Here is a 25,215-nt window from a genome sequence, read left to right as displayed (position 1 = left end):
AAGGAAACTAAATCACAGTATCTGGGCATAGGTCAGGAGCATACATGCTTTTGAAAACTGCCCTAGGTAACTTAACACACAGCCAGGCTTGAGAACCATTGAAAGTGATTCCTGAAATTCACACTGCTAACACAGAGCAGAGTTTATGCTCTCTTTCTTGCTTTTCAACAGAATAAATCAGACTGACATTTATTTTTTTTCAACCTTGCCCCAGGGCATAGCCACAATAGAACCATGGACAGCAATGATTCTTTTCCTTAACTCTGTAGGCAAAACCAAAGATGAGCTTTTAAACTGAAGCTCCTGACAGCTGCTGCTGCTCAGGGCCAATTATACTGACCTAGACATCCTCCCCTTTCCAGCTTTATGGCACACCATTGTCAGACTTTCATATTCAGAAATATCTGATGGCCCTGAACTGTTTAAAGGCAAAGCCCAAACTCTTCATCCAGGCACTCCTGGCCCTTCGCAATCTGGCTCCAAACATTTGCTCTTGCTGTGGTCTCAGAATTCTGTCTATAGAGTTGCCTTACTGTTTCCATAAATACCATATCCTTCTATCTGTCTCTTGTTCTTGTCTGCATCTGCAATGACAACAGTTCTATTCTTATACTCAACTTATCCATGTGTTTTTATTCAATGTCAAAATTGAGTTTAAGTTCCTTCCTGACTCTCAATAGTCCAACACTCTACAATTTCTATGAAGCTTCTTTCTACTTACTCCCAGCATCAGGAAAGATGTCAGATTTAATGGCAAAAAAAGAACTTCAGTTTTTCGGCAAAGAAACTTCATTGTATTTGGATTATTATTCAGCTTTATGATTCTGTGATACAGCTACTTGGGACCAAACCCTACTTCTTTTACTGGTTTATTGCATGATCTCTCAATTTCTTTGCATGTAAAGTGGATAATTTCACCTTACGAATAAGAGTTCCTACCTTAGAAGTGAGGATTAAATTAGATAATGAAACAAAATTCTTTAGCATAGTACTGGGTCCCTAGTGAATCTTCAATAAATTGTAGCTATTTTTGTTTGCCTGTGTGTTCACGTAGTCTGACAAATACATCTTGTCTGCATTAGTTCATTCTCACATGCTATAAAGATACTACCTGAGACTGGGTAATTTATAAATGAAAGAGATTTAATTGACTCACAGTTCCACGTGGCTGGGAAGGCCTCAGGAAACTTACAATCATGGCGGAGGGGAAGAGGCACATTTTCCATTGCAGCAGGCAAGAGTAAGAGCCCGGAAAACTGCTTTATAAAACCATCGGATCTTGTGAGAACTCATTCACTATCACAAGAATAGCATGGGAGATACTGCCCCCATGATGCAATCACTTTCCACCTGGTCCCTCCTTGGACATGTGGGGATTATGGGGATTACATTTCGAGATGAGATTTGGGTGGGGACACAGCAAAACCATACCATTGTCCCTTCAGCAAAACTGGAAGAATGCTTAATGGCAGAACATACTTTGTAAACTTTACCACCTGATTCCAAATACTATACAAAAACAAGGTTTTGAAATCAAAGCATTGAACTTCGAGTTTCAGCTCAGCTATCTAGTTCTTATTTGATTTTGGCATGTTGTTTCATTGAACTGAACCTCGATTACCTAATATCTAAAATTAAAATTATAGTAATAATAGTATTTACTATATTCTGGAGATTAAAGAAGCTAATATACCAAAACATTATTTATCTCTCAAGTATTACTCAAAAAAGTATAGTTGTACTTATAGTAGTCTATATGTTTATTGAATTATTCCACAACATCTAAATTTGATATTACACATCAATACATATATTCATTTACTAAAATATTGGCTCTGTGTATTTGTTAATTGAAAAATCAAAAAGTGGATGTGAATTTCACGTCTTAATTTCTTCATCTGTAATATAATAGTGCTAAACAAGAAGAAAGATCTTTAAGTTCTTTTTTAAGTCTAATTTCTAGATTTTTGGAAAGTGCTTATGCTTTTATCTGAGTTTAAAAATGCAGATAAATGTACATACGTATACACACACAAATATCCATCTTATAAAAATTCCCCAAGCTTTTTATTTATATGTTATACACGAAAAAATAAATAGAAAAATAAAGGTATATGCTGTTAGTGGTTACCGCTGGATGAAGGACTTACAGGTGATTCAAACATTTTCTACCAGTACTTCAAATGTTCTACAATGAGATTATAGTTACTTTAGATTTTTTAATGTTATTTTTAAAAATAGTCATTGAGACATAAAAGTCCATCCTAAATATTAACATATATTTGTCTATGCATGTGCATACAGAAATATCTTTTAGGACAAGCAACTGGCAGCATCCTATGACTGTGCCTCCTCACCAAACATTTATTTTCACTAATTGCTCATTATATTTAGAAAACTGAAGGGACAAAATGAATAGAGTGGGGCACACACTGTAAGTCTTACTTGATGTGTTGTGATGAGGTTATTACAATATCGTGGTTGGAAATTTGACATCATACAAAAAATATAAGGCATAAGAACTGTTCCCAGAGAAGCCCAGCATATTACAGTGATTGGCAGGGTGTGGTACAGTCACCAAGCTCCCTCAGAGATTACAACTCATAGGTCCATTGACTTTATAACTTGGTATCAAGGAGGCCAAAAGGAGTTCAAAGACAAAGGACTTAGGGTTATATTTGAAAGTACTGAAAAAGTATGAATCTATTTCAAAAGTAATTACTATGCTCTTATAAATAGAACAATATCTAACAATTTTCCCCTAAATGGGAACATGTCTCCCTCTTCAAAATGCTGCAGAAAATAGGTTTTTATTTTCCATAGAAATAAACTTCACAGACATCTTAGTTGGTAGCATATATCAAGCACAGCAAACAGTACCTATGTATTGTTCATCTGGTTTTATTTGGGGGCCTTTGAAGATCATATTAATTCTTTAATGTGGATGTGTGAGTTTACTGTGTGAGCAACACACTTAAATGGACATGAAGTAATATGGGTCAAGGATTTTTAAGCAGTGATTTTGAATAGGCTATGGGGGTGCCTAATATCCTAAAACATAAGTTAAATTATTTCTGGAAAAATTAATTATAGCTTTCAACCTTTTGCAAGGAGTTTACTACCCAAAAATTCAGGATAGCCCTGGTTTATGTCTATTTATCTGGTTTAATTTTATTTTATTTTTTTTTTTGAGACAGGGTCTCACTCTGTCACCCAGGCTGGAATGCAGTGGCACAATCTCGGCTAACTGCAGCCTTGGCCTCCCTACTCAGCCTCCTGAGTAGCTGGGAACACAGATGCGTGCCACCATGCCCAGCCAATGTCTGAGATAATTTTTGTTAGCATATTCTTTCACTCTCAAAATTGTCCCAGCCTAGATTATAAATCATAAGGTTACTCTATTTAAGGCCCATGGGTTAAGTCATTGTTTTTTTTGTGAATGACAATAACAAGTCAGCCATGATTTAACTTGTAAAAGACAGGGCAGCTTTGAGATAGGTTTCATGAAATTCTCAGAACACAAATGACACACACCAACCCTGGGTTTAAACTCTTTCATTTTATATTCTACTTAAATATGGAAAATATGACAGCTCAATACCTTAGCAATGGTGCATCCACCACCCCAGAATATGTCTGTTCATTTTGTTCTTAGTTACATTTCATCTGGTTAGATACTAGAAATGGCAGGTAAAGAAATATTTAAGTTTTTGTGCATTCATTCAAGTAGCATTATCAAATACCCATTTAATAATAGTTCTGTAATAGTGAACAGGGAGAAAATGTAAAACAAGGTTTCATTTCTCCCATCACTTATAATCTGTGTGAAGAGATACAGCACATTTGTTTAAAGACAAAACATCTAATGAATGATAGACAGGTAATTAGTGATCTCAGAGTTTGAAGGCAGAGCTCACTATAAATTAGAATGGTTAGAAGGACTGAGTGGGATGAGTGTTTGAAAGACCTCAAGTGACAACCAGTGTTCTGTGGGAAATATTATCCTCCAGACAATGGAACACCCTTGGACATTTTTAAGCAAAAGCTAGAATGTACTAACATAACTTGAGAAATGACTTTGAGGCATGGCTTCCTGAAAATAAATTAATTCTTTAGTTTTCCAATGCAGAGTTACAATAATTTTCAGGCATTATAGTGCCTTCCCAGCTCCATAGCACTTGTCTAATTGCTAAGTCTCTCCATTTTGGTTTTCTGTAGTCTGTTATTTAAGTATATTTTGATCTACAACAACTTGGGATTTTTCTGTCTTTCTAGGGAAGGCACTTTAAGGCCCGGGACAGTGCCTAGTTCTATTGTGCTTCTCTACGAAACATATCTATCTCTCTGTATCTGTCTTTCTTTCTCTCAGGCACCACCCATCCCCCTGCCCCCGCCACACACACACACACACACACACACACACACACACACACACCCATCCACACACTAATTGATCCCAAACAGAAGCCAGTCCTGAGCCTTCATGCAAGTGGTGGATGGCAGTGGACCAGAGCCTTAATTTCATTTTAGTGGTCATTTCTCATATTCAAATGAGCAGGAAAGGCTATTGATTGGAAGAACAATTGCAAATGAGGGAAAAGAAAAGTTGCCTGCGTCACAATGGGTATTCTAAATAAAATCCCTTATCCTAGTAGACTTACCAGAATCTGAATCATTTGATAGAGCTGATCACTCTCATCATCCTTCTGACCTTTAAGTGTCAGAGAGTCCCAGGGCTTAGTTTTTGGTCATCTTCCTCATCTATTTTATCTGGTGAATTTATTCAGTCTCAGGGCTGAAATACTAGCTATATGCTGGTGATGGCCAAATTTATATCTCTACCTTTGACCTTTTTCTGATACCCAGATGCATGGCTATAATGTCCTTCTCCACACCCCTACTTGGAGATCTGAAAGGTAACTCAAGCTTTACATGTTTGAAACAGGACTCTTGATTTGAAGCCTTACACCAAAGCCCTCATGCTCTCACTCTATTTCCTATAACACAAATGGCATCTTCATTCTACCAGCTACTTGCTCAAAGAAAAAACTTTAAGTCTCCTTAATATGAGTCATCTTTAACATCTGTCTCTCTCTGATGCCACACATATAATTCATCAGCACTGTTTGTCAGCTCAACCTTGGAAATGCATTTAGATTCCAGAACATGTCTCCCCATTTCCATTGCTGTGCCCTTAATCTGAAGCCATCCATTCTCTCCCAAGTTATTTAAATTGTCTCCCAACTGGTCGCTCTGCTTCCAGCCTTGCCTTCACAGTGTTCTCCACAGTACAGCAGAGTGAGCCTTGTAAAACCTAGTCAGATCGTGGCACTCTTCCACTCAAAACCCTGCAATGGTTTCCATCTCACTCAGAATAAAAGCCCAAACACCTACCTTCCTGTAAGATGCTATAATACTTGTCCCTGCCACTGCCCTGATCTCATTTCCCCCCTTTCCTTATTGTGCTCTCCACACACTTTGTGCTCTTAGTTGTCCCTCAAACATACAAAGTATGTCTAAAATAGCACCTTTCCTATTCCTCACTATATATCCTTTTCCTACTCCATTTTCAGATTTCTTAAGCTTAGCTCACGTATTATCTATTTATTATCTGTCACTACTGGAATATTGGAATATAAGTCCTATGAAAGCCAGGATTATCTATTTTGTGTGCAGCTATATCCCCAGTGCAACAGTCCTTCATGCTCAACAGATATCTGTTGAACAATGAAGTAAATATGTAAATGATGAATAAATGCACATGTACTCACAAGTAAACATGCAAATAAATAAGCCTCCTGTCATGCTCATCTATGGAATCTCCACATTTGCCCAAGTAGAGTTCTGAAGGTTGCCGCACCAGAGCCTTAATTCTGCTGACATATAAATAACTACACAGATTTTTGTTTCTTTTTTCCAGAAAAGAGTGCAAGAGTTAGCACATTTCCCATCACCACTCCCTGCGTACCTTCTTATAACTTACTACCTGTGACTTTTCCACTTGGAATCATTACATGGAAAGGGTCATTAGAGACTATCTAGTTCAAATAATCATTTCAGAAGCAAGGAAACTGAGGCTCAAGTTCGTGAAATGACTTGCTCAAGCTTACAGAGCTGGTTAAGAGCAGAACTATAATTTGATTTCAGGTCTCTAAATTTTTATGCCTTTTTTTTTTTTAAATCACCACAAGGATAAGGAATCAGTCTCTTTCTCTCTCTTTCCCCTTCTTTTTCTCTATCTCTCTCATATGTTGTCCTTGCTACCACTGTTGGTGATCAAAATTCAATAACAACAGTCTTTAAAGAGAGAGCCAGATTTGCAAGTGCTTTTGGAGCTCAATGATGACTTTCTCTGAGTGGGAGAGGCTGGTTATAGGGTCCCCCTCACTTTCACAGAACAGAAGAGGCAGGGACTCATCTGTGGGCATTGGCAGGGCTGGTGCTTACTGACAATCCCTGAGAATGGAAATATCCTGCTTGTCCTTTTAACAGGATTTCAGCCAGAGATTTGAGGGAAAAGTACCGCAGTCTAGTGGGCTGTGAATATGAGTGGAAATGTCAGAGCTATGAATCAGTTAACACATTTTTATTTAGCATCTTCCTGTGAAAGAGGATGAAAAGACATGGCTCCTGTGCTCAAATTCCTTATCACTTCAGGGTACAGTCCAGAATAGTACAAGATCTGGTTAGATCTTAGAGGTCCTAGCACTTCAGACATAAGAGGCATGACTTGGGTGGTAAGAATGGGGGTGGTTTGGGCTGGTGTGGTGGCTCATGCCTATAATCCCAGCACTTTGAGAGGCCGAGTTGGGTGGGTCACCTGAGGTCAGGAGTTCAAAACCAGCCTGGCCAACGTGGTGAAACCCCATCTCTACTAAAAATACAAAAAATTATCTGGGCATGGTGGTGTGGGCCTGTAAACCCAGCTACTAGGGGGCTGGGCTGGAGGATTGCTTGAACCTGGGAGGTAGAGGTTGCAGTGAGCCGAGATCGTGCCATTGAACTCCAGCCTGGGCAACAGAGCAAGACTCCATCTCAAAAAAAAAAAAAAAAAAAAAAAAAAAAAAAAAAAAAAAAAAAAAGAAAGAAAGAATGAGGGTAGTTTTCATGGAAAACACAAAAACACAATGCTTAATCTTGTCATGGAATGGCTGTGATTTAAGTAGGTGAAGCGTATTGTGGTGCATTACTTGCTCCTGTTCTCTCTGGACTCAAGCAGTACATTCATATATTCTTCAGCTTATGGGATCCTCCAATCCTCCCTGGAAGGCAGAAAAACCAAAGAGCATATGTTCCATCTTGCACAGAAAAACTGAGACTCCAAGCCATATAATAGCCCAAGTTCTCCCATCTGGTTGGAGCCAGAGTTCCCCACACTCCTTCCCAGGATACTTTTGAGAATGTCCTGCTGGAAGATTGCTTCTCTGTGTTGTTCTCTGCATTCTGGAGATGCAGACACTAACCCAGTCTTAACAACTCTCAAGGAGGTCAAACTTGACTTCTGCCCTAAGTTCTGTGACATAATTTTTAAAACAAAAAAGTTCAAGGCATCCCAAGGTGTCAGTTTCCTCTTTGCTGTTCATAACCAAAATGTTTTAACAGCCCTGAGGAGCCGTCCACCCATGGGGCTCTGACTCTTTGAGACCTATCTGCAGAGGGTGCACAATTGACCTGGCCCTGCTGATGAGAAAAGCACAGATGTCTACCATCTGGTCAGGGGTCCCTGTGCCTGTGCCAATTTCCTGTCACTGACAGCCAACACTTGATTGATGGAATTTAGTACTCCACCATTTTTTTTCCTTCGTACACTATAACCTCATGAATTCAGATGGCACTTAGCCAAACTGAAAGAATTTGAACTCGGGCAGGGTAAAGTTTACCATCAATGAAATGAGGGTCTGTTATATAAATTACCAATGTAAACAGGATTGTAAAAGGGACAATTTAATCTACTTACAAGAATGAATTGTTTTCAAGCACTTAAGTTGCATAAATTTACATACAGTGTGCTAATTACAAATGATTGATATCCAGTCATTCAAACACATCTGGTAGGAGCCCTGTTCTCTAACAATTTATTAGACACTAGATTGCATTACTTGAAATATTTGAAAATGGTATAAATGTATCTTTTATATATGTGTATTCACACACATTTATATAAAAGACAGTCCTTGCTTTTCATGGAGTCATGTCATTGGAAACCTCACCACAAAGATTATCAAGCACAGATCACTGAGAACCAAGTAACACTTTTAGGTACGAACAGTGTTATAATTAGGACTGGTGTGCCTGACCCAGGAATCACACCAAGTAAATCACGGAATCAATCAGCCTTATGTTATAACAACTTAACCTACAACAACCATGACTAGAGAAGACAACTAATATTTATTGAGCAGTTGCTACATCTGAATACCTTATGTGCGTTATCTCAGTCACCAGGACTTGCCCATTAGGGAGCTACTGCTTCCATTTTATGGGACACCGCATTGAAACTCCAAGAGATTAAGTAATTTGCCGTCAACCACATAGTTGTAATCAGAGTTAGAAGTTAAATCTAGCTCTGATTCCAAATCCCATGTCTCCTTTTAGTACTATAGATCTATAAGCCTTCCAAACTGTTAGATTGTACATAGCTATGTGAAGTGTTTGTAATTTACAAAATGGGAATTAATATGCTGCCATCTTCTATGACCTGGATGAAATGTTAGCCCTCATGAAGATGCGATGTTAAAACAAATCCTCCTCCTTTTATGCAAGTATGTTTTCCAAACTGTGAAACTATTCATTACAATATATTAATTTAAATACAGCTGCAGTATCTTCAACATATATTAACTTCTACTTTTTTTTCAATTGTTGAAATACATGTCTTAGTTTTCTGATAGATATTAGGCTCATTAAAAGTAGAGACTAATATCACCAATCTTTATATATATCACGCTCATTTACTACCTAAAGTCTTGACCAGCAGGTGCTAAAATGTGTTTGTTGCCTGAATTAGTAAATGAATAAATTTTATCTTATCACAAATTATAATATGCCATAAATTCAAATCATCAATATGTGGCTAATAAATATTAGCATTTAATCTTAAAGATTAACTTAAATTTTAGAAAGTTATTGCTAGTGGTAATGGGGAAACAAGGTGTTAGGAAATGATTCGGATGTCTAGGGAGTGTGAAAACCGTCTTCTCTTGAAAAAATGTCCTATAGCTAGCAATTCAGTTATAATGAATCCCTTGACTTCAGATTTAACATTCAAAAATTTAAGAAAAACTTTATTAAAACTGTGTTAACACAGAATATAAAATTCACCACTTTAACTATTTTTAAGTACACAATTTAGTGGCATTAAGTATATTCTTATGATGCAACCATCACCACCCTCATTCATCTCCAGAACTTTTTCATCATCTCAAACAGAAACTCTGTATCTATTAAGCAATAACTCCTAGTGCCCTCTCCACCTGCCTCTGCTAACCTTTATTACACTTTGTGTCTCCATGAGTTTGCCTATTTTGGATACCTCATATAAATGGAATCCTACAATATTTTTTAAACTGCATTGGCATCATCTAAATATTTTAAAGCCTCATTATTGACTTCAAAATTGATACATTGGAGGACATAAATATTTCAACTCTGGTTCTTTCATTATTTATATTTGTTTTCTTCTCTTCTTGTATTTAATAATATAGAAAGCAGGCTTGCTGATAAAGAGTCAACAAAGGGAACCAAAAAGAAGTATATATTTACAAATAGAAACAGTTGCCTGTGTGCTAGTTGTTCAGGGTAATGTTGAATATTCATCAATGATTACATGTGTATGACAGCCAGTTTCATATTCACCTTTCTCCTCCAGTCCCTGCCTCTTGTCTTTTCCTTTCCTTATTCAGTCATCATTAAAAACCATCAAGGAAACAGGCAATCATGGTAACATGGGGTGTAGTCAATAGGCAGTGTTGAATAAGAAAAACAGCAAAAGTGGATGTCAATGTCCTACAAAGCATCAACATTTCTACTCATTCTGACTCTTCTTCTTTCATACTAGTTCACCTAAATCCAAGCTAAAAGGTGCTGAGTGAACCATTAAAAAATCACTCCATGAACTCTGAGCAGGTGACCAGCCACAGGAACTGAAAATGGGACTCAGCCATCAGGTCTAATCATAAAGTGCCATATTGCTTCAACTCTTCGAAGTCACAGAGTCTCCATTTTAAGCAAAGCCTTTAAGTTATCTGTTCCCCTCTGTTGAGGAAATGTTCTCTTTGTTAATGTCATCCCATTACTCCTCATCACCTCTCCTTGTACTAGGTTGAGTAATTCCTTTGCCTCCTTAGAAGTTAAACACTTCAAATATTTATAGGCTGTAACTTGAAAAGCTTTGGGCTAATGGATCATGTTTCTACCTGAGGGACTCCTTCATTTTCCAAAATTACTGTAGGCACATAATCTTTAATCCTCCATTATTTCTGATTTCTCCAGGTTAAGCATCTGTGGGTGGCAGCAAATTTAACTGATATCTCCAAGCTGCCTTTTAAAGATAAAGACCTTTCTTCCCTACCTTTAACATTTGAGATTTTAAGAGAACAAATTGGTTCTGTACTTTCTGGCATAGGAAGTCTGATTCAGCCAAACCAAACATTAAGACTGAAGAGATGCAGCTGTTTCTTGAACCGGAATACAGGTAACTTTTATTACAAAATATTGCTAGAGCTTTACATTGTTCATTGAATAAGCAGCTGTGAATCATCAAATGAGAGAATATCTATGAAAGGGGTTCATAAAATATAAAATTAATTAAAATAAAACATATTAGTATTAACATGAATTGTGTCAGGTCGTTTGAATGTGTGAAGTTTTATTTATTTTATACTAAAATCTAAAAAGTAATAGCATTGGGTATTCATAAAATTTACTGCACAGAATTTATCCTTTTATCTATAATATAAGGCCATCAAAATGAGCGTTATTGTAATAAGAGTAGTTCACATTTATTGAAGGTTGTAATAAGAGTAGTTCACATTTATTGAAGGTTTACTTCATGGCAGTACAGAAGGCTAAGTATTGTACAAAGATTCTATCACTCCTTACAGTATCTCTCAGGACAAGACTTATTTCTCTAATGTACAAAGGAGCAATTGGGGGCTTGTAAACTTTGTTATCTGAAGCCACTTTACTAATGTGAACTTGAACCCAGATCAGTTCAGTGACAATGTCTAGGTTCTTATAGTACTCCCCTTATGTATATTATGGTGCTTTTCAGTTACTAAATGCACTCAACTATTTCCTTAACTAAATGGGTGCAGCTTCCAGGTTATGAGTTCTTCAGAGAGTTTTGTCTTTTTCTTCCACTGTCAACTATGAGATGTCTCATCTTCCTCTCAGTGACAGTCCCCTCCCTTTCCTAATCTGGTGCTGTAGGTCTCCTAAGGACGTGGAAACCAGATGAACATGTTAAAACTGTGCAGTAAATGAAAGTCAACACACACTGAGTGTGGGACTAAGAAGGCTGTCTGAGCAAGATGAGCTGTTGCATAAAGCTGTTGTTTTAAGCAGAAGCAGCTATCAAAATGCTGAAGGAGGGGTAGGAGCTGCATTAAGTGAAAAGTACGTGAGAGCCTTTCCGTGGGCTTCTCGGTTTAGGCATTTTATGACTATGAATGCAATTCTTGTAAGCCTATTGGAATGAACTATTTGTTCACTGATTCATTAATTCCTTCATTTCACACACTTTACTAAAAACCTGCTCTAAGCCAGTAGCTGTTCTGCCAATCAAACATATACTTGAGAGGAGAAAAAAATGGGACCCCACCCTCAAAGAGAGCATTCTCATGGGGAAGAAAGGGCTTAGACCATGACTGCACAAAAATCAAGATTGTTGCTGAAGAAAAATGCAATCTGAGAATGTAATGGAGCATGAAGGGTTATGGAAACCTAAGATGACATTGGAAGTGAATCTTGAATAACAAGGAGAAGCAAAGATCTGAGGGAAGAGCTGTTCAGGCTCTTTCTTCAAATGAAAACAAAAAGTGAGATTTCCAAGGCAGAAACAAGCTGGGCTTCCAAACAGAAAGGTCAGCATGATTGGAGCTTGGAGATGGAGAGGAAGAAGACAGAGACCAGATCACCAGGTGCTGCTAGTCCAGTCTTCATGCAACAGGAAGACTTTGGAGGCTTTTAAGCTGTGATAAGGCATGATATGATTCACATATTTAAAAGACAAATTTGACTGCTGTAAGAATTAAATACATTAATTTTTTCTTACCATACAGCTTTCTAGGATGTGTAAACACTTTCTAGGATGTATAAATAATTTTGTTAAACTTAGATCAGACTAATCATTTTATCAGCTTTTAAATTAAAAAAACAAAGAATGAGCACCTCAGGGAGTTTCTTTTTCTCTTCATTTCACAAAGTCCCTTTATATAATCCTCCTTCCCTCTGGGATTGAAAATAGCATCATCTCCAATGGACCTAGACTCAGAGTAGAATGTCAGGATTTTATCAATCTTGTGTTATTAGTCGCCAAGGATTCCACCATGGAGAATGACTTCCGAGATGCACAAAGACTTTCCCGCCTCTCCCTAAGCTTTGGCCCAATCCTCCTTCACTTACTCTCTAATGCTAGAAATGCCGCCTTGGGAATTTTGTTTCTTTAGCTCAAGGAGAAGATCCTTTGCTGAGATGCAAGTGTCTTCAAGGGGAGCAGATTTCAGCTTAATATCACTGGTTATTCTCACCTCAAATTGAGGTTTTATTGGGAATTGAGGGTTAGAAGACAGAATGGGAAGAATACTGAGAAGGCCTGAATGCTACCATTACTGGGACAAGATCAGATATAGAGAACAGGGAGGATAAGAAATAAAAGCCTCTGAACTGAAAAGTCGCTCAGGGCTGTGGTTCCTTTTCTACTTAATTCCAGCCTTTCCTTCTGGCTAAATGTTACTTTTTCTTTTTATTCTTCACCCTGCTTGAGTGAATAATAGGCTCTTCTGTTTTGAGAAAGAATTAAAACAAAACTTGCTAAAGCTTATTCCTGAAACTAAGGCAGAGGGACAGAGTGGAATCTCCAGAGTGCTGCCTAGAACATCTCCATTAGTAGTCAATGCTTAGTGCAGCAAAGAACTATGTATCTGCGGAGTGAAGAATAGCAGAAAAAACCAATTCCTTCTTGAGACAGACAATTTGGCGCAGCAGGAGGAGCACTGGAAGGGGAATGCAGAGACCTGTTTTGGAACAGCAGTTCTAGCCTTTACCCTTGTTGGGACCTAGCTAGAAGGGGAGAGTATTTCAAGGAATTCACAGTAAGGAGTCAATGACTGGTGAACTAACCCTCAAGAAAATCCTCAATTAACAAAATATCTCTCCAATAGACTACCCAGGAGTGGGGAGGAAAATCTCTACCTTCTAACCACACAAAGCTAACTCTGCCTGCATGAATTAACCCTCAATTGCATTCATGTTTGTGTGTACATAATTATCCTCATACATTGTGTATATTTATAAGTAAACCTGTATGCATGTAGATATATGTTCATTCATATGTGTGTGCATATCTACACACACAAGAAAACCTGAATGCATATATGCATATGCATACACACATATGTATGTGAGAATACAACTAAACCTGCATATTATGCATGTGTATAAATGAGTTTGAACTTCTCTTTAGTAGGGAGACTCTGGCCATGATGGAGTAACTGGTACTATATTCTCCTGCCCATCAGAAAACTATAAAACCTGTATAAATTATATCAAATCATTTGTTTACAGATATCAGAGAACAACCAAATAAAATGGTGTATTCTTTAAGAGAAGCAGGCATAGGAGATGATAGCCAGATTCACTCAGACTTTCTCCCAATGACTCTTTTGGGATTTGATGCATGAAAGAGGGGCCCAATAAATGCTTAAGTGATCTTAATGGCCAAAGGAAGCAAAATTAGAGTTTGGGCCTGCTAAGGTAACTGGACTTTTGAAGGTATATTGCCAGAGAAGGAGCATCTCAAAAGTCTGTATGGAAATATGCATCACACCCTAGACCGACTCCTTGCCTGTGCAAGTACAGCATGAGACTATAGGAAGCCTAGAGATAGCAGGTGCTGAGAGGTTGAGAGCTGACCAGTGATTCCAGAAGCCCCGCAGATGGCAGCCAGTGTAGCAGTACCTTGAGCAACACCCTCACCAGTTAAAGGTTCTAAAATGGCCATTCTATAAAAGTAAGGGCTGTGCCTGAGAATAATAATTTAAAAAAAAAAAAAACAGAAATAGCTCTGTTCTACAAAACTTTTACTAGGCTTGAAAAGAATCAAAGGGGTTCACCAGTAATTAACGACCTGCCAGAATAAAATTCAATTTGCCTTAGAAGATAACATAATCTAAAACCTCTGCACTGCATTATAGACAATGTCCACTATACCATCAAAATTTACTAGACATAAAATCAAACAGAAAAAGTGACTCACAATAAAGAGATAAGACGAGTTAGCAGAATAAAATGCAGAGAAAATCTAGGTGTTGGAATTAACAAACAAGGACTTCCAAAAAACTATGTTGAAGAAAATAGAGTGAAAAAATGGGTGGGATAGATAAACAGATAAAATATTTCAGTAGCGAGTAAGAATCTACTAAGAAGTCATTAAATGAACATTCTAGGAGTACAAATATAATATCAGAAATTGCACGTGTTTAACAGCAGACTGGACACAACAGAGGATAGGATTATTGAATCTCAAGAGAGGTTACGGGAAAATACCTGAACCAAAACATGGGAAGAGTAAAAAGAACAAAACAGAAGGGAATATGTGAGATGAATGAAGCCATTGAATATGCATGTAATTGTATTCTTAAGAGAATAGGAAAGAAATAGTATTTGAGGGGGAAAAGCTCAAGAACTTTCCAATACTGATGAAAGACACTAACCCACATATTTAAGAAGCTCAGTAAGCCATAAGTGGTAAAAACACAAAAATGTTATATCCAGGCACTATAGAGTCAAACTTCTGGAAATATAACTGAAAAGAAAATTTCCATAGAGAGAAATACTGGCATGAGGGAGGAAGTTTGATTTCTTTAAATAGCCTTTAGATACTGCTTTACTGAGAATCCTTGGCAAATCCTTTGACAATTTTTAAATGCTTGTTTTGATAAAATGGGAGAGCATATTATACACCCCTTTGGAAGTTACTCAATACCTGCCTCAATTTCACTTCCGTAGTATCTTATCTCACCATTCCAGCTCCCCTGAGAGCTGCAACAGAGCCAAGTGTCTCTTTTTCTTATTTCCACAGTGTTTTATGTCTATATAGATCATGCCTCTTCATCTCAATGCTCCCCTTCTTAAGGATGCAGCCTCTCTCATGAACATTTCACATAGCTCCTTCAAAGCTTGGCGCAATGCTAGAACAAATTACACTCCCTACGAAATTTTGTCACATTGAATTAATTAAAGTGTATTAGTTCTCATAACACAAGACATCATAAAGTTTGCAAATTTTTTTACTCATATAATCTGTGCATTCTTTCAATCAATATTTATTATGCCCCTTCTATGTGTGAAGCACTTGTATCTAAAAAACAATTACCATTGTTCCATAAATTTTCAAAATGTACCTAAAATAGATTAGATAAATACCAAATTCAGTGTCCTGTTAAACATTATTATCCATTTGCAATATCTATTACCCTTTTAAAATTTCAATACCTAAGTCTTTTATAATCAATTGCGATTGCATAAATACACAATAACTTTTTTATTAAATCTGAATTTAAATATTTGTTGTACAGCCTTAATTTAAAATCTGACCCTCTTTTGAATGGAACGCCTTTATGAAATTTAATAAAACATGAAGGTCATAAAATGTATTAAACTATTGTACTTTCCATTTTTAATTCTGAACAGGCACAAGATTCAAAGGAAGCAGGCTGCTTTCTTGCAGCAAGACAAGGCAAGTTGGAAGAGAGGATTATTTTTCTTCTTCAAAGCTCTCACCCTCAGGAGGATTCCTATCAACTACTTTGGGAAAGAGTGAGTACAAAAAGACAGGGGACATACCAGATGACCTCTCTGGGACCTTTAAGCCTGAAGATTTCATTACACATTCTCTTCTTCTGCAAATGTGCCCGGAGAAATTTTAATGAATAGTGAGATCCCAGCTGCTTGTGGTTAAAAGACCATCAACACCATATGAAAGGTTTGTCAGAAACAAATACTCCAAGTGGAGCAAAACAACCTCCTCAGAGCATAAGTGACCAGTTTTTGAGACACTGGATTTTTGGGAAGGGCTTTGAGAAGAAAAAAAAAGTTCTTAGTTGTAGCTTTTAAACTAGTGTCTATTCATTCCTTAATGTTCTCTCTAGCTGATTGTTTTTGGTACTAGAGAACTTGATAGACAGTGAGTAAGTACTAATTGAAGAAACAGATACGCAGTCCTCTTCTGCAACATTTTCTCATGAGTATGATTCAACCTGAAGTGCTTCCACAACAATTTTGATCCCTTGAAAAATAGTGCTTTTTTTTTTTTTTCCTCCAACATCTTGTAAAGAATTTCACTGAATAGCTTGGTTCTCAAACTTTGGTCTTGACCCAAACTAAAGTTGCTGATGCTCCACAAAATGGCTTGGAAGCATCCCCAGAAAAAGAAACACTTATCCTCCCTGTTCCCAGCCTCCAGGCCAACTGCAAAAGGGCAAGGAACATGGAGTCTTTACCAGAGGGAATCCCATTCTAGCGTGTTCTCCACTCGCGCCACGCAAACTGTGGTGGGGGCGGAGAGGAGCACAACAGTTTCTCTTATTAGACAACCACTAGCAGCCCACAGTTGACTGTTAATATCATCTTTTGCTTTTGACCTCTCATCTTGGAGACAGAACAGAAAGGGAAAGAAAGACAGGGTATTATTGCATTCTTAAATTGTTAGTTTATAATATGACAGACATTGTTCTGTGAAATATAAAGATGAGGAAAACGCTGCTGTCATTCACTTGAAGGAATGACTTACTATCTGGCAGAGAACTGTGCTGGATAGCTTCCACTCACTGCTCCTGACTCACCATGCACCCTCTTCAGTGTCCCAGAAGGCTGACAGCACAGACTATATCAAAAGGTTTTTTTGTCCTCTGCTTCCTGAAGGGTTCAGTTAATGAGGAACCTTGCAGTGAGAGAGAGGAGACAGAGAATGGAAAGAAGTTGGAGAATATTTATTCCCCTGGCTCCCTCCCTGCCTATTCACCTGGGTTATCTGCATCCGTCAAGGGAACCATGGTCCCAATCAGTGGTGCTCTGCACATTCTCCTTATGCCTCCCCTCTCTTCTTCAGGCTTAGTGGGGTAACACCAAGATATTGCACTATCTGCTGTAGCTCACTGCAACCTGCACACACTTTGAAAATACTTTTGTTAGACTATCCTAAACTTATCCAATTTTATTTTGCCATCTGGGACTGATAACAGACTTTGACTTACTTGCAGTGTGACCCTGGCCACATTATCTAACCTCTCCATGCCTCATCACCTTGACTTATAAAATGGAGCTAATGATGTATATCTTGCATATGAATTTTAAAGATTAGAAAAGTATACAAACACCTGACTCATAGTAACACCCCGTTGTCTTATTCAGGCATTGGACTTCAACTCAACTATATGGGCTTAGCCAAAATAGAGAAAGATCAACATTAAGCTACAAAATATGGTGATTCTGTAGCTCATTCCCCTTCATGAGTGTCTGGTCTGAGATAGTCTCAGTTTGCATGTGACCCTTGTTCTGTGGAAATCTTCCCACATTGACCAGGATTTTGTGTTTGAGGGTTTTCATTTTTTTTTTCATGTTTTCATTTTGGTTTTGTTTTGTATTCTCAAGGCCCCTAAACAAAAGGCAATCATTTCATTGGTACTCAGCCAGGAAAGATCTCTCTAGTGGAAAAACTGGCTGAGATAAACTTACTAAAAAGTTGTAAGTTGGTTCTCACTGTGGTATTTCCTAAGATATTTCAAGCTAATGTTGATTTCAAATCATATTTTCTGGCTTTAGAAACTACTCCTCAGATAGGATGGCTCTCCAATATAAGTGTTCAACCACAGGCAGCTGTCCCTCTGCCTTTACTTCTTTACAGGTTGGACTCTATCACCAGAGTCCTGTCTCTCCCTTCTCCTTGTAGATCAAATTCCTAGCTTAGGTCTTTGCACAAAGCAGACAGATACTCAATACATATGTACTTCACAGATTTAAGACATGAAAGGGTGGATCATAAAATTCTTTACAAGCTCATCACAACTCCTAGGAAACGATTCTTCTCTCTTTTCCCACCAGTGGAGAGCTGAAATGCATGATGAGTCAAGGAAAGTCATAGTTTATTGGATGCTCACTTAAAATAAGAAAGCTTCAGTTCATTAGAACTTATGGATGTGAGTAAGGGGTGTGGGGAATTCACAGACGTGATGAGAGATTTTTGGTGGCTGCTCTACTGCATGTACTAAGCAAATTTTATATATCAAAACTAGTTGGCCTCTCTGAATCCTTGATTTATTATTTTAAAATGGAAGACACCATACCACTTTCATTCCCTTTATTGTTGGTATCATTGAAGTAGCCTGAAGCTAAGTATTGCATTTTGGCACAACTGAGGTGACAGGAAAAGCTAGTGATGCAGCTATGGGTCCAGGCTGCCTTTCCTCCATCTCTTGAAGTGACCTCTCATTTATTGAGGTGTTTGCATCCCCACTCTCTGTCTCCTGACCTTGTGATCCGCCGGCCTTGGCCTCCCAAAGTGCTGGGATTACAGGCGTGAGCTACCACGCCTGACTCCCTTGATAGTTTCTGGCCCCCTGGTGTCATCTCCTAGGGTGGCAAGCAGCTCTAAAGAACCTGCAGTTTGTAAACAATGCTAACAAGAAAATCCTGACAGAGGAGATTTTTTATTCACTTTCTTGACTTATTTACAAAGATCTCCTCCTCCCTGTGTTTGTGGTTGTCTGACGGGCATACTGTGTTCGCCAAGTTGTTCTGATGATCTTGCGGTGTTAAGTGCCAATGGTGAAGGAGAATATTCTGCTCTGAAAAATCAGTAGCTGAGCCAATCAACTTGGACTCTCAGTGGCCTCAATACTTTGGGACAGAAGTATTTCAGTAAGTTGATCCTTTAGCATCCTAGTCAATTGATGACACTTCCATCTATTTAAAACATAAACTCACTTTATCTGGAAAATTATCTCATTAGCTATTTAAATTAGTTAAGTTAAATTTCTGGCTATGTGCCACTCATTCATTCATTCATTCAACAAAGATGAATTGAATTCTGCTAAGAGTCAGGCCTTGTTATAGGAACTGTAGCAGTGAATAGAACAAACAAGTTAGTAAAAGCCCCTGCCCTTATAGAGTTTATGTTCTATGAGAAGCAGATGAGGAATGAATCACACAATTTAAAAATTATGTAATATATTAAAAGACTTTAAGTGCTAGAGTGAAAAATAAAGTGGGAAGAGAATAGGAGTGGCTTGGGCAGAGACTTCTAGTTTTTAAAGGCAGTGCTGTAAAAGTCAGCAAGATGGGGTGTGCTTGGCATCTTATTGGCACAAGGATGCCAGTGTGGTTAAGAAGTGAGCAGGAGAAAGCATTGTTAGAGGTGAGATCAAAGAGGTGATGGGGTCAATGGTATAGGACTTGTGGGTCTTTCTAAATGAACTTTGAGTTTTACTCTGAGTAAAATAAAGGCACTGGAGGGTTTTGGATAAAGAAATGGCATAATTTGATTTATGTTTTAACAGAATCATGCTGTTGAAGCTAGAATGAAGAGTCCAAGGTTAGGAGTAGGAGAAGTTAAGAGAGCTCTACCATAATGTAGGCACGAGATGAAGGGATTTTAGTGGTTTAGGTGAGACGGTAGCAGTGCAGGTAGTCAGAAGTGGTCATCTAAGCCAAAAGTTGCTGATGGATAGGATGTGGGGTAAGAGAAAGTGAGGAGTCAGTGATGACACTGAGGTATTTGGCATGAATCAGTACCAGAATGGTGCTATCACTAATCAAGACAGAGAGAACTGCAGAGGAGTCAGTTTTTGGGGAAAGGTCAGAGCTCAGTTTTTGACATATCAGTACCTTTCTGGTGGATCCAGTGCTGTGTGAGAAGGAGTCCTTGCAAGAGCCTCAGCCAAGGGTTCCAAACTATGAATAAGTAGTTATTCAGTGAGTCAGTCTATCTATCAGAAAATATTTGTTGCGCACTTACTGCATTCCAGGCAGTGTTCCAGGCTCTTAGGCTACAATAGTGACTAAGTCAAACCAATCCTCTTTTGTTATGGGCTTACCTTTTTGTGAAGGGATACAGAGGTAAAAGGTAGATGGTAAAAGATAAGATGGATGATAAAAAATAAGAATCTAGACCTTTATTCTCCTTATGTTAGTCAGCTATCCTTTGGTTATGAGCACTAGAAGACGGATGGATGGATGGATGGATGAATATAGATGAGTAGATGGGTAAGTGGATAAAGATATAATATGATATAATATGATAGATATACATGAGATGATTTCAGAAAGTGCTAAGTCCTATGAAGAAAATGAAACAGAACGAAAATAAATACATTTTAAGAAGAAGGACCCATTGTGGAAGCTGCTTTAGGCAGGGTGGCCAGGAAAGAATTATCTTAGAAACTGATACACAAACTGAGATCTAAATGACAAGGAACAGCCAGCTACAGCGAGATCTGGGAGAAAATATTCTAAGTTTAAAAGAGACGAAATCAAAGTCCTGAGCTGATGGTGTCCTTTGTGTGTCCAGGGCACAGAAGGAAGGCCAGTGAGGCTGGAGTGTGGTGAATATGGGACAGAGTGGTAGGAGGATTGGAAGAAGATACAGCGAAATAGGTAGGCAAGCGTCAGATCAGGTAGGACCTTCAGGCTGCAGGAGAAGTTTAGATTTTATTACAAATGTAAAGATAAATCACAGGAGGGATATCAACAGGAGGGTTTCCTAAGCTGATTTGTATTTTTGAAGATCTCTCCCATAGCTTTGTGAAGACTGGCCATATAATGAAACAACAGAGAGAAGAGAGGAACTGCTGGGCGGCTGTTGAAGTGGGTTGTAGCACTGAGATAACAGTTGTGGGATTTGGCAGCATATACTAGAGCCACTCTAGCCAATACAGTAGCTACGAGAGTGCCACATGTGACTCTTTCTATTTACATTTATGTTAATTAAAAATAAATTAAATTTTCAGTTTCTTAGTCACACTAGTCACATTGCAAGTGCTCCACAGCCACATGTGACTTGTGGCTTTTGTGTTGGACAGATATAGAACATTTTTGTCATCACAGGAAGTTCTACTGGGCAGTGCTGCTGCAGTGGTAAAGCCACAATGTCTCCATACCAACTAGCTGGAACAGCTGTAGATAAAGACAATGCAAGATTTTCACATCAGATAGATCATCAGGAAAGCAGAAACAGACCAAATGCTTCAGATTTTTTTTTAATCTAAAACAGGCAAAAGTTGATGTTGGTTTGATATCTTTCTTCTCCTATTTCTGTAAGATTATTGGATTATCACAGACTGGTGCTTTCTGACCTCCACAGTCCATATTCCTTCTGTATCTAGCCTTTTATCCTGATAAATTCCTAGTAAGAACCTAGACCTTTATTCTCCTTAGTCAGCTATCCTTTGGTTATGAGCACTAAAAGTCTATTCAAACTAGTTTAAATATTAGAAAGAAGTTATACATGTAAATATATAACTCATAGAACCCAATGGCTACATAATGGGGTATCATAGGACCTGCAGAGTTGGGAGATACTAAGAATTTCTCATCTCTGCTTCATTTTTCTGTCACAGATGAGCTTCTCTACTCGTGCACTCATCACGTAAATCAGAGCAGTACCCAAAAGTGGCCACACCCTTTGAATCTATATAGGTTTCTAGTTAAAGCACTGACACTCATTAATTTAATCTACTTAATCTAGGAGTTCCTTTTTAATTCTGAAAAGAGACATGGATTTCCTGAGCTTCATCTGGTGTAGTTAGCCATGGCATGGCTTGGGGAGCTTCTGGTACTTGGGGTTACATTTCAAAGAGGAGGTTCTCTAGAAGGTGGTGTGAATGAAGAAGAAACAGCAGTAAAGAAATGACTGCCATTTTTGCCAGTGTCCTGTTCTTACTCAGTATTCATGGAACCTAGTGAAGATTATACCAAAGCTACAACAGGCCAGACAGGCACCTATTAGTTATACATGTATTTAGCAATAAGCTTGGCATTCTAGAAGACATGAGTCCTATGCTGTAGGTATTTACTAATTGCTAGACATTCCTTAAGCAGAATCCTTACCTTCAGAGGAAGGAACCAAAAGGAATAAATCAGGCAATCAACCTTTGACTAGTGTTATTACAAGTAAAGGGAAAAGACTCAGAAAACTGGTAATTTCACAAAAGTATTGAGGGAGATAGATGTTCTTGTATCCATGACTACTCAGGCCTTCTCTGGTTTCATCCCTAATTCCTTGCTCTGAATTCAGATGGCTTCTTGCCATCTGACAAGATCACCTATGGTAACTTCTTGGTGGATGCTCATAACTAGAAGCTTGAAGACACAGGCTGTGGTTTCTTCATCCTTTATCCAAAGCACAGTTTCTGGCATAGTAGATGTCCCATAGATGTTAAATGCATGGGTGGATGGATGGATAATGATTAAAGCCTCAGTTGAAAAGTTTGGCATTCTTATGAATTCTGCTTAGTCCCCCTGGAGAGGCCAGATCCTCTTCTTCATCCACATCTTTATCCTTTTTTACCAGTCTTTTTCAAGAGCAGGGAATTTGTATTGGTATTGAGGACTTTGACATTTGTATTACATGGGAAAAGCAAAAGACTAACAAGGGGATCATGTTCACATTAGCCTGAGGGACTGAGTAGTTTTCAGTATTCAAGCTAAAACAAAACACCTTTCTCTAAGGGTGTAAATGCAGCTTTAATTTCAAAAATGTGCTTTTTCTTAGAGGCAGAGGGAGTTAAATAGTTCATAACAAAAGGTGAGGATTCCTGGTATTGAGTTCTAACGGTAATGACCATTACACAGGTTTTTGATTTGTGCTGGATTGTTGCTGAGCATTAAGGACATCCTACCAAAGTCCAGGAAACTGCTAATTAATCCTGCAGGAGACTGCAAAGACACACTTGCCATTCATCCAGCAAGTGCTATTTAAAAGCCTGTTGTGAGCATCTGAGTGCATTTGGGCTAAAGAGCTCATGGACTAGACGCAACAGGAGCTATACAGACTACCAGTGCACCACCAGCGTGCACCAGAATGCATGTCCCAGCAAACAACTCTCAATTGGCCAATTTGCAACAGGGCACCCTTTAGCCTCTTTGGCCCTGGTCATTTCCTTCCCACCCTGCCCTTTTGGAGGCATCAACATTGAGCTCAAAACATGTTCAGTGCATTCTTTGCAGTGTACCATTTGTACCTTCAACAGCTAGGCTGACATTTGTTAAGGTAATATAAGAATGCAGCAGATAGACAGGAAGCATGAACTTCGGGTCAGTGAATCCAAAATGCTCTCTCACTACAGCCTGTTTTCTGCACAGCAGGCTGTGGCTCTAATGACTGTTTCTCATTGAACTCCTAGAAGAGCAGCAGTCTCCCTTTCCTTCAGTATCTTGCCTGTTTCTCCTTGGGGGACAATCAGCCTCTTGTGCTTTTTTCATTCTAATGCAATGAGCCTCTAAGAGTTGGCCTCCCAAGCTCTTTGGCAGTAAATGCATCTTGAAGATATGAAGACACAAGCAGCCACCTCAATAAGGAAGAGATACAGAAATGTACTGTGAAGTTTCATGTGACTAGATTCAGTTCAGTGAGCATTTACAGAGCATCTGGGCAGGTGTTCAAGGTAGTGAGGGGGCAAAACCTTTTGAGAGCTTACTACAACCTGGACACCAGCACTGGAGCATTACCTGAGCCAGCTTAATTCATACTTCCCCACTCTGTGAGGACACACTAGAGGACACACTACAGTCTGAATTTTAGACACAAGAAATGGAGAGGTTCAACAACTGGCCCAAGTCCCACAGGTAGAGAAGGCTTTAAAGCCAGGACCTTGCATCTATATCGAAGCCTAAACTCATTCCACTTTTCCACTGTGTCTTCCTGAAGCTGAAAAGGCACAGGAGATAAGGAGGAGACCACCCCTCATATTGTCTTATGCCCAATTTCTGCCCCCAAAGAAAAAAAGGAAGTAAAAACTAAAAGGCAGAAATGAAACCCACAGGCAGACAGCCCGGCACCACAGCCTGGGCCTAGTAAAGATTGGCCCCTGACCTAATTGGTTATGTTATCTATAGATTACGTTGTATGGAAAAGCACTGTGAAAATCCCTATCCTGTTCTGTTCCACTCTAATTACCAGTGCAGGTGTACACAGCCCCCAGTCACGTACTCTCTGCTTGCTCAATTGATTAAGACCCTCTCACACGGACCCCCTTAGAGTTGTAAGGCCTTAAAAGGGACAGGAATTGCTCACTCAGGGAGCTCAGTTTTTGGAGACGTGAGTCTGCCAATGTTCCCAGCTGAATAAAGCCCTTTCCTTCTACAATTCGGTATCTGAGGGGTTCTTGTCTGCGGCTCGTCCTGCTACAGAGAGATGTAAGTCCAATCAACAAGTGATGGGTATACACATGTAGTTTAACAGAAAGAAAGGAGCAGAGCATCCCAGCAGGAGTCTAAAGAGGGAGGAAGTTGAGATAGGAGGGGCCTGAGTTTGAGGCTCAGTTCTGCTAATCTCTTGCCTTCCTACAAGGCAGCGTGGAGGTGAACCTGAGTGCTCTGTGAGCTGTCCCCGCACTTCACAAAGCCTCCACCCTATGACGCCAAATTCTCCCTGCACTTAAGGCTCCACAGATGATCTGCCTATCTCTCCTCAAAAGCTTCACCAATTCTTGCATTTTTAACTCAACAAGCATTCATTTAACAATTAATATGCATATTAAATGCATGCTTCCTTTTAAACACAAGTGTTCAATGTCAAACATTTTATTTGCATGTGTGAAATAAAATATATCCAATTATTCATTAAGCAGTATCTTCATAACAAAACAGAAGTGGCTAAAATAAAGAACCTCTGTACAAGTGGTTATTCTCCAGCTATTTTAAAAGTTTCAAACAAAATCGTCAAGACATATTACTAAATGAAAAAAGCAAAAACAAGATACAGAACATTTAATAAGCTAG

At 38.6% G+C, this 25,215-nt stretch overlaps 1 long non-coding RNA gene across 1 annotated transcript in view, besides 2 other annotated features; it reads left to right on the top strand.

Moving 5' to 3' along the window:
* The window catches only part of LOC105372091 (uncharacterized), an 87,209-nt gene that overhangs the window by 28,687 nt on the left and 33,307 nt on the right, over positions 1–25,215 (top strand). The window contains exon 3 of the long non-coding RNA XR_007066349.1: positions 15,913–16,038. This is a non-coding gene — a long non-coding RNA (uncharacterized LOC105372091). The remainder of the gene's footprint in view (positions 1–15,912; positions 16,039–25,215) is intronic.
* Positions 24,129–24,198: an enhancer, noted in NCBI's record as "active region_13260". NCBI's record gives its function as "activates an Ori minimal core promoter by ATAC-STARR-seq in GM12878 lymphoblastoid cells {active_cell/tissue: GM12878}" and the evidence as "EXISTENCE:reporter gene assay evidence [ECO:0000049][PMID:35858748]".
* Positions 24,279–24,328: an enhancer, noted in NCBI's record as "active region_13259". NCBI's record gives its function as "activates an Ori minimal core promoter by ATAC-STARR-seq in GM12878 lymphoblastoid cells {active_cell/tissue: GM12878}" and the evidence as "EXISTENCE:reporter gene assay evidence [ECO:0000049][PMID:35858748]".

The sequence above is a fragment of the Homo sapiens genome, chromosome 18 (genome assembly GCF_000001405.40).
Source record: "Homo sapiens chromosome 18, GRCh38.p14 Primary Assembly".
Classification (NCBI taxonomy): domain Eukaryota; kingdom Metazoa; phylum Chordata; class Mammalia; order Primates; family Hominidae; genus Homo; species Homo sapiens.
This window is presented reverse-complemented; position numbering and strand designations above follow the sequence as displayed.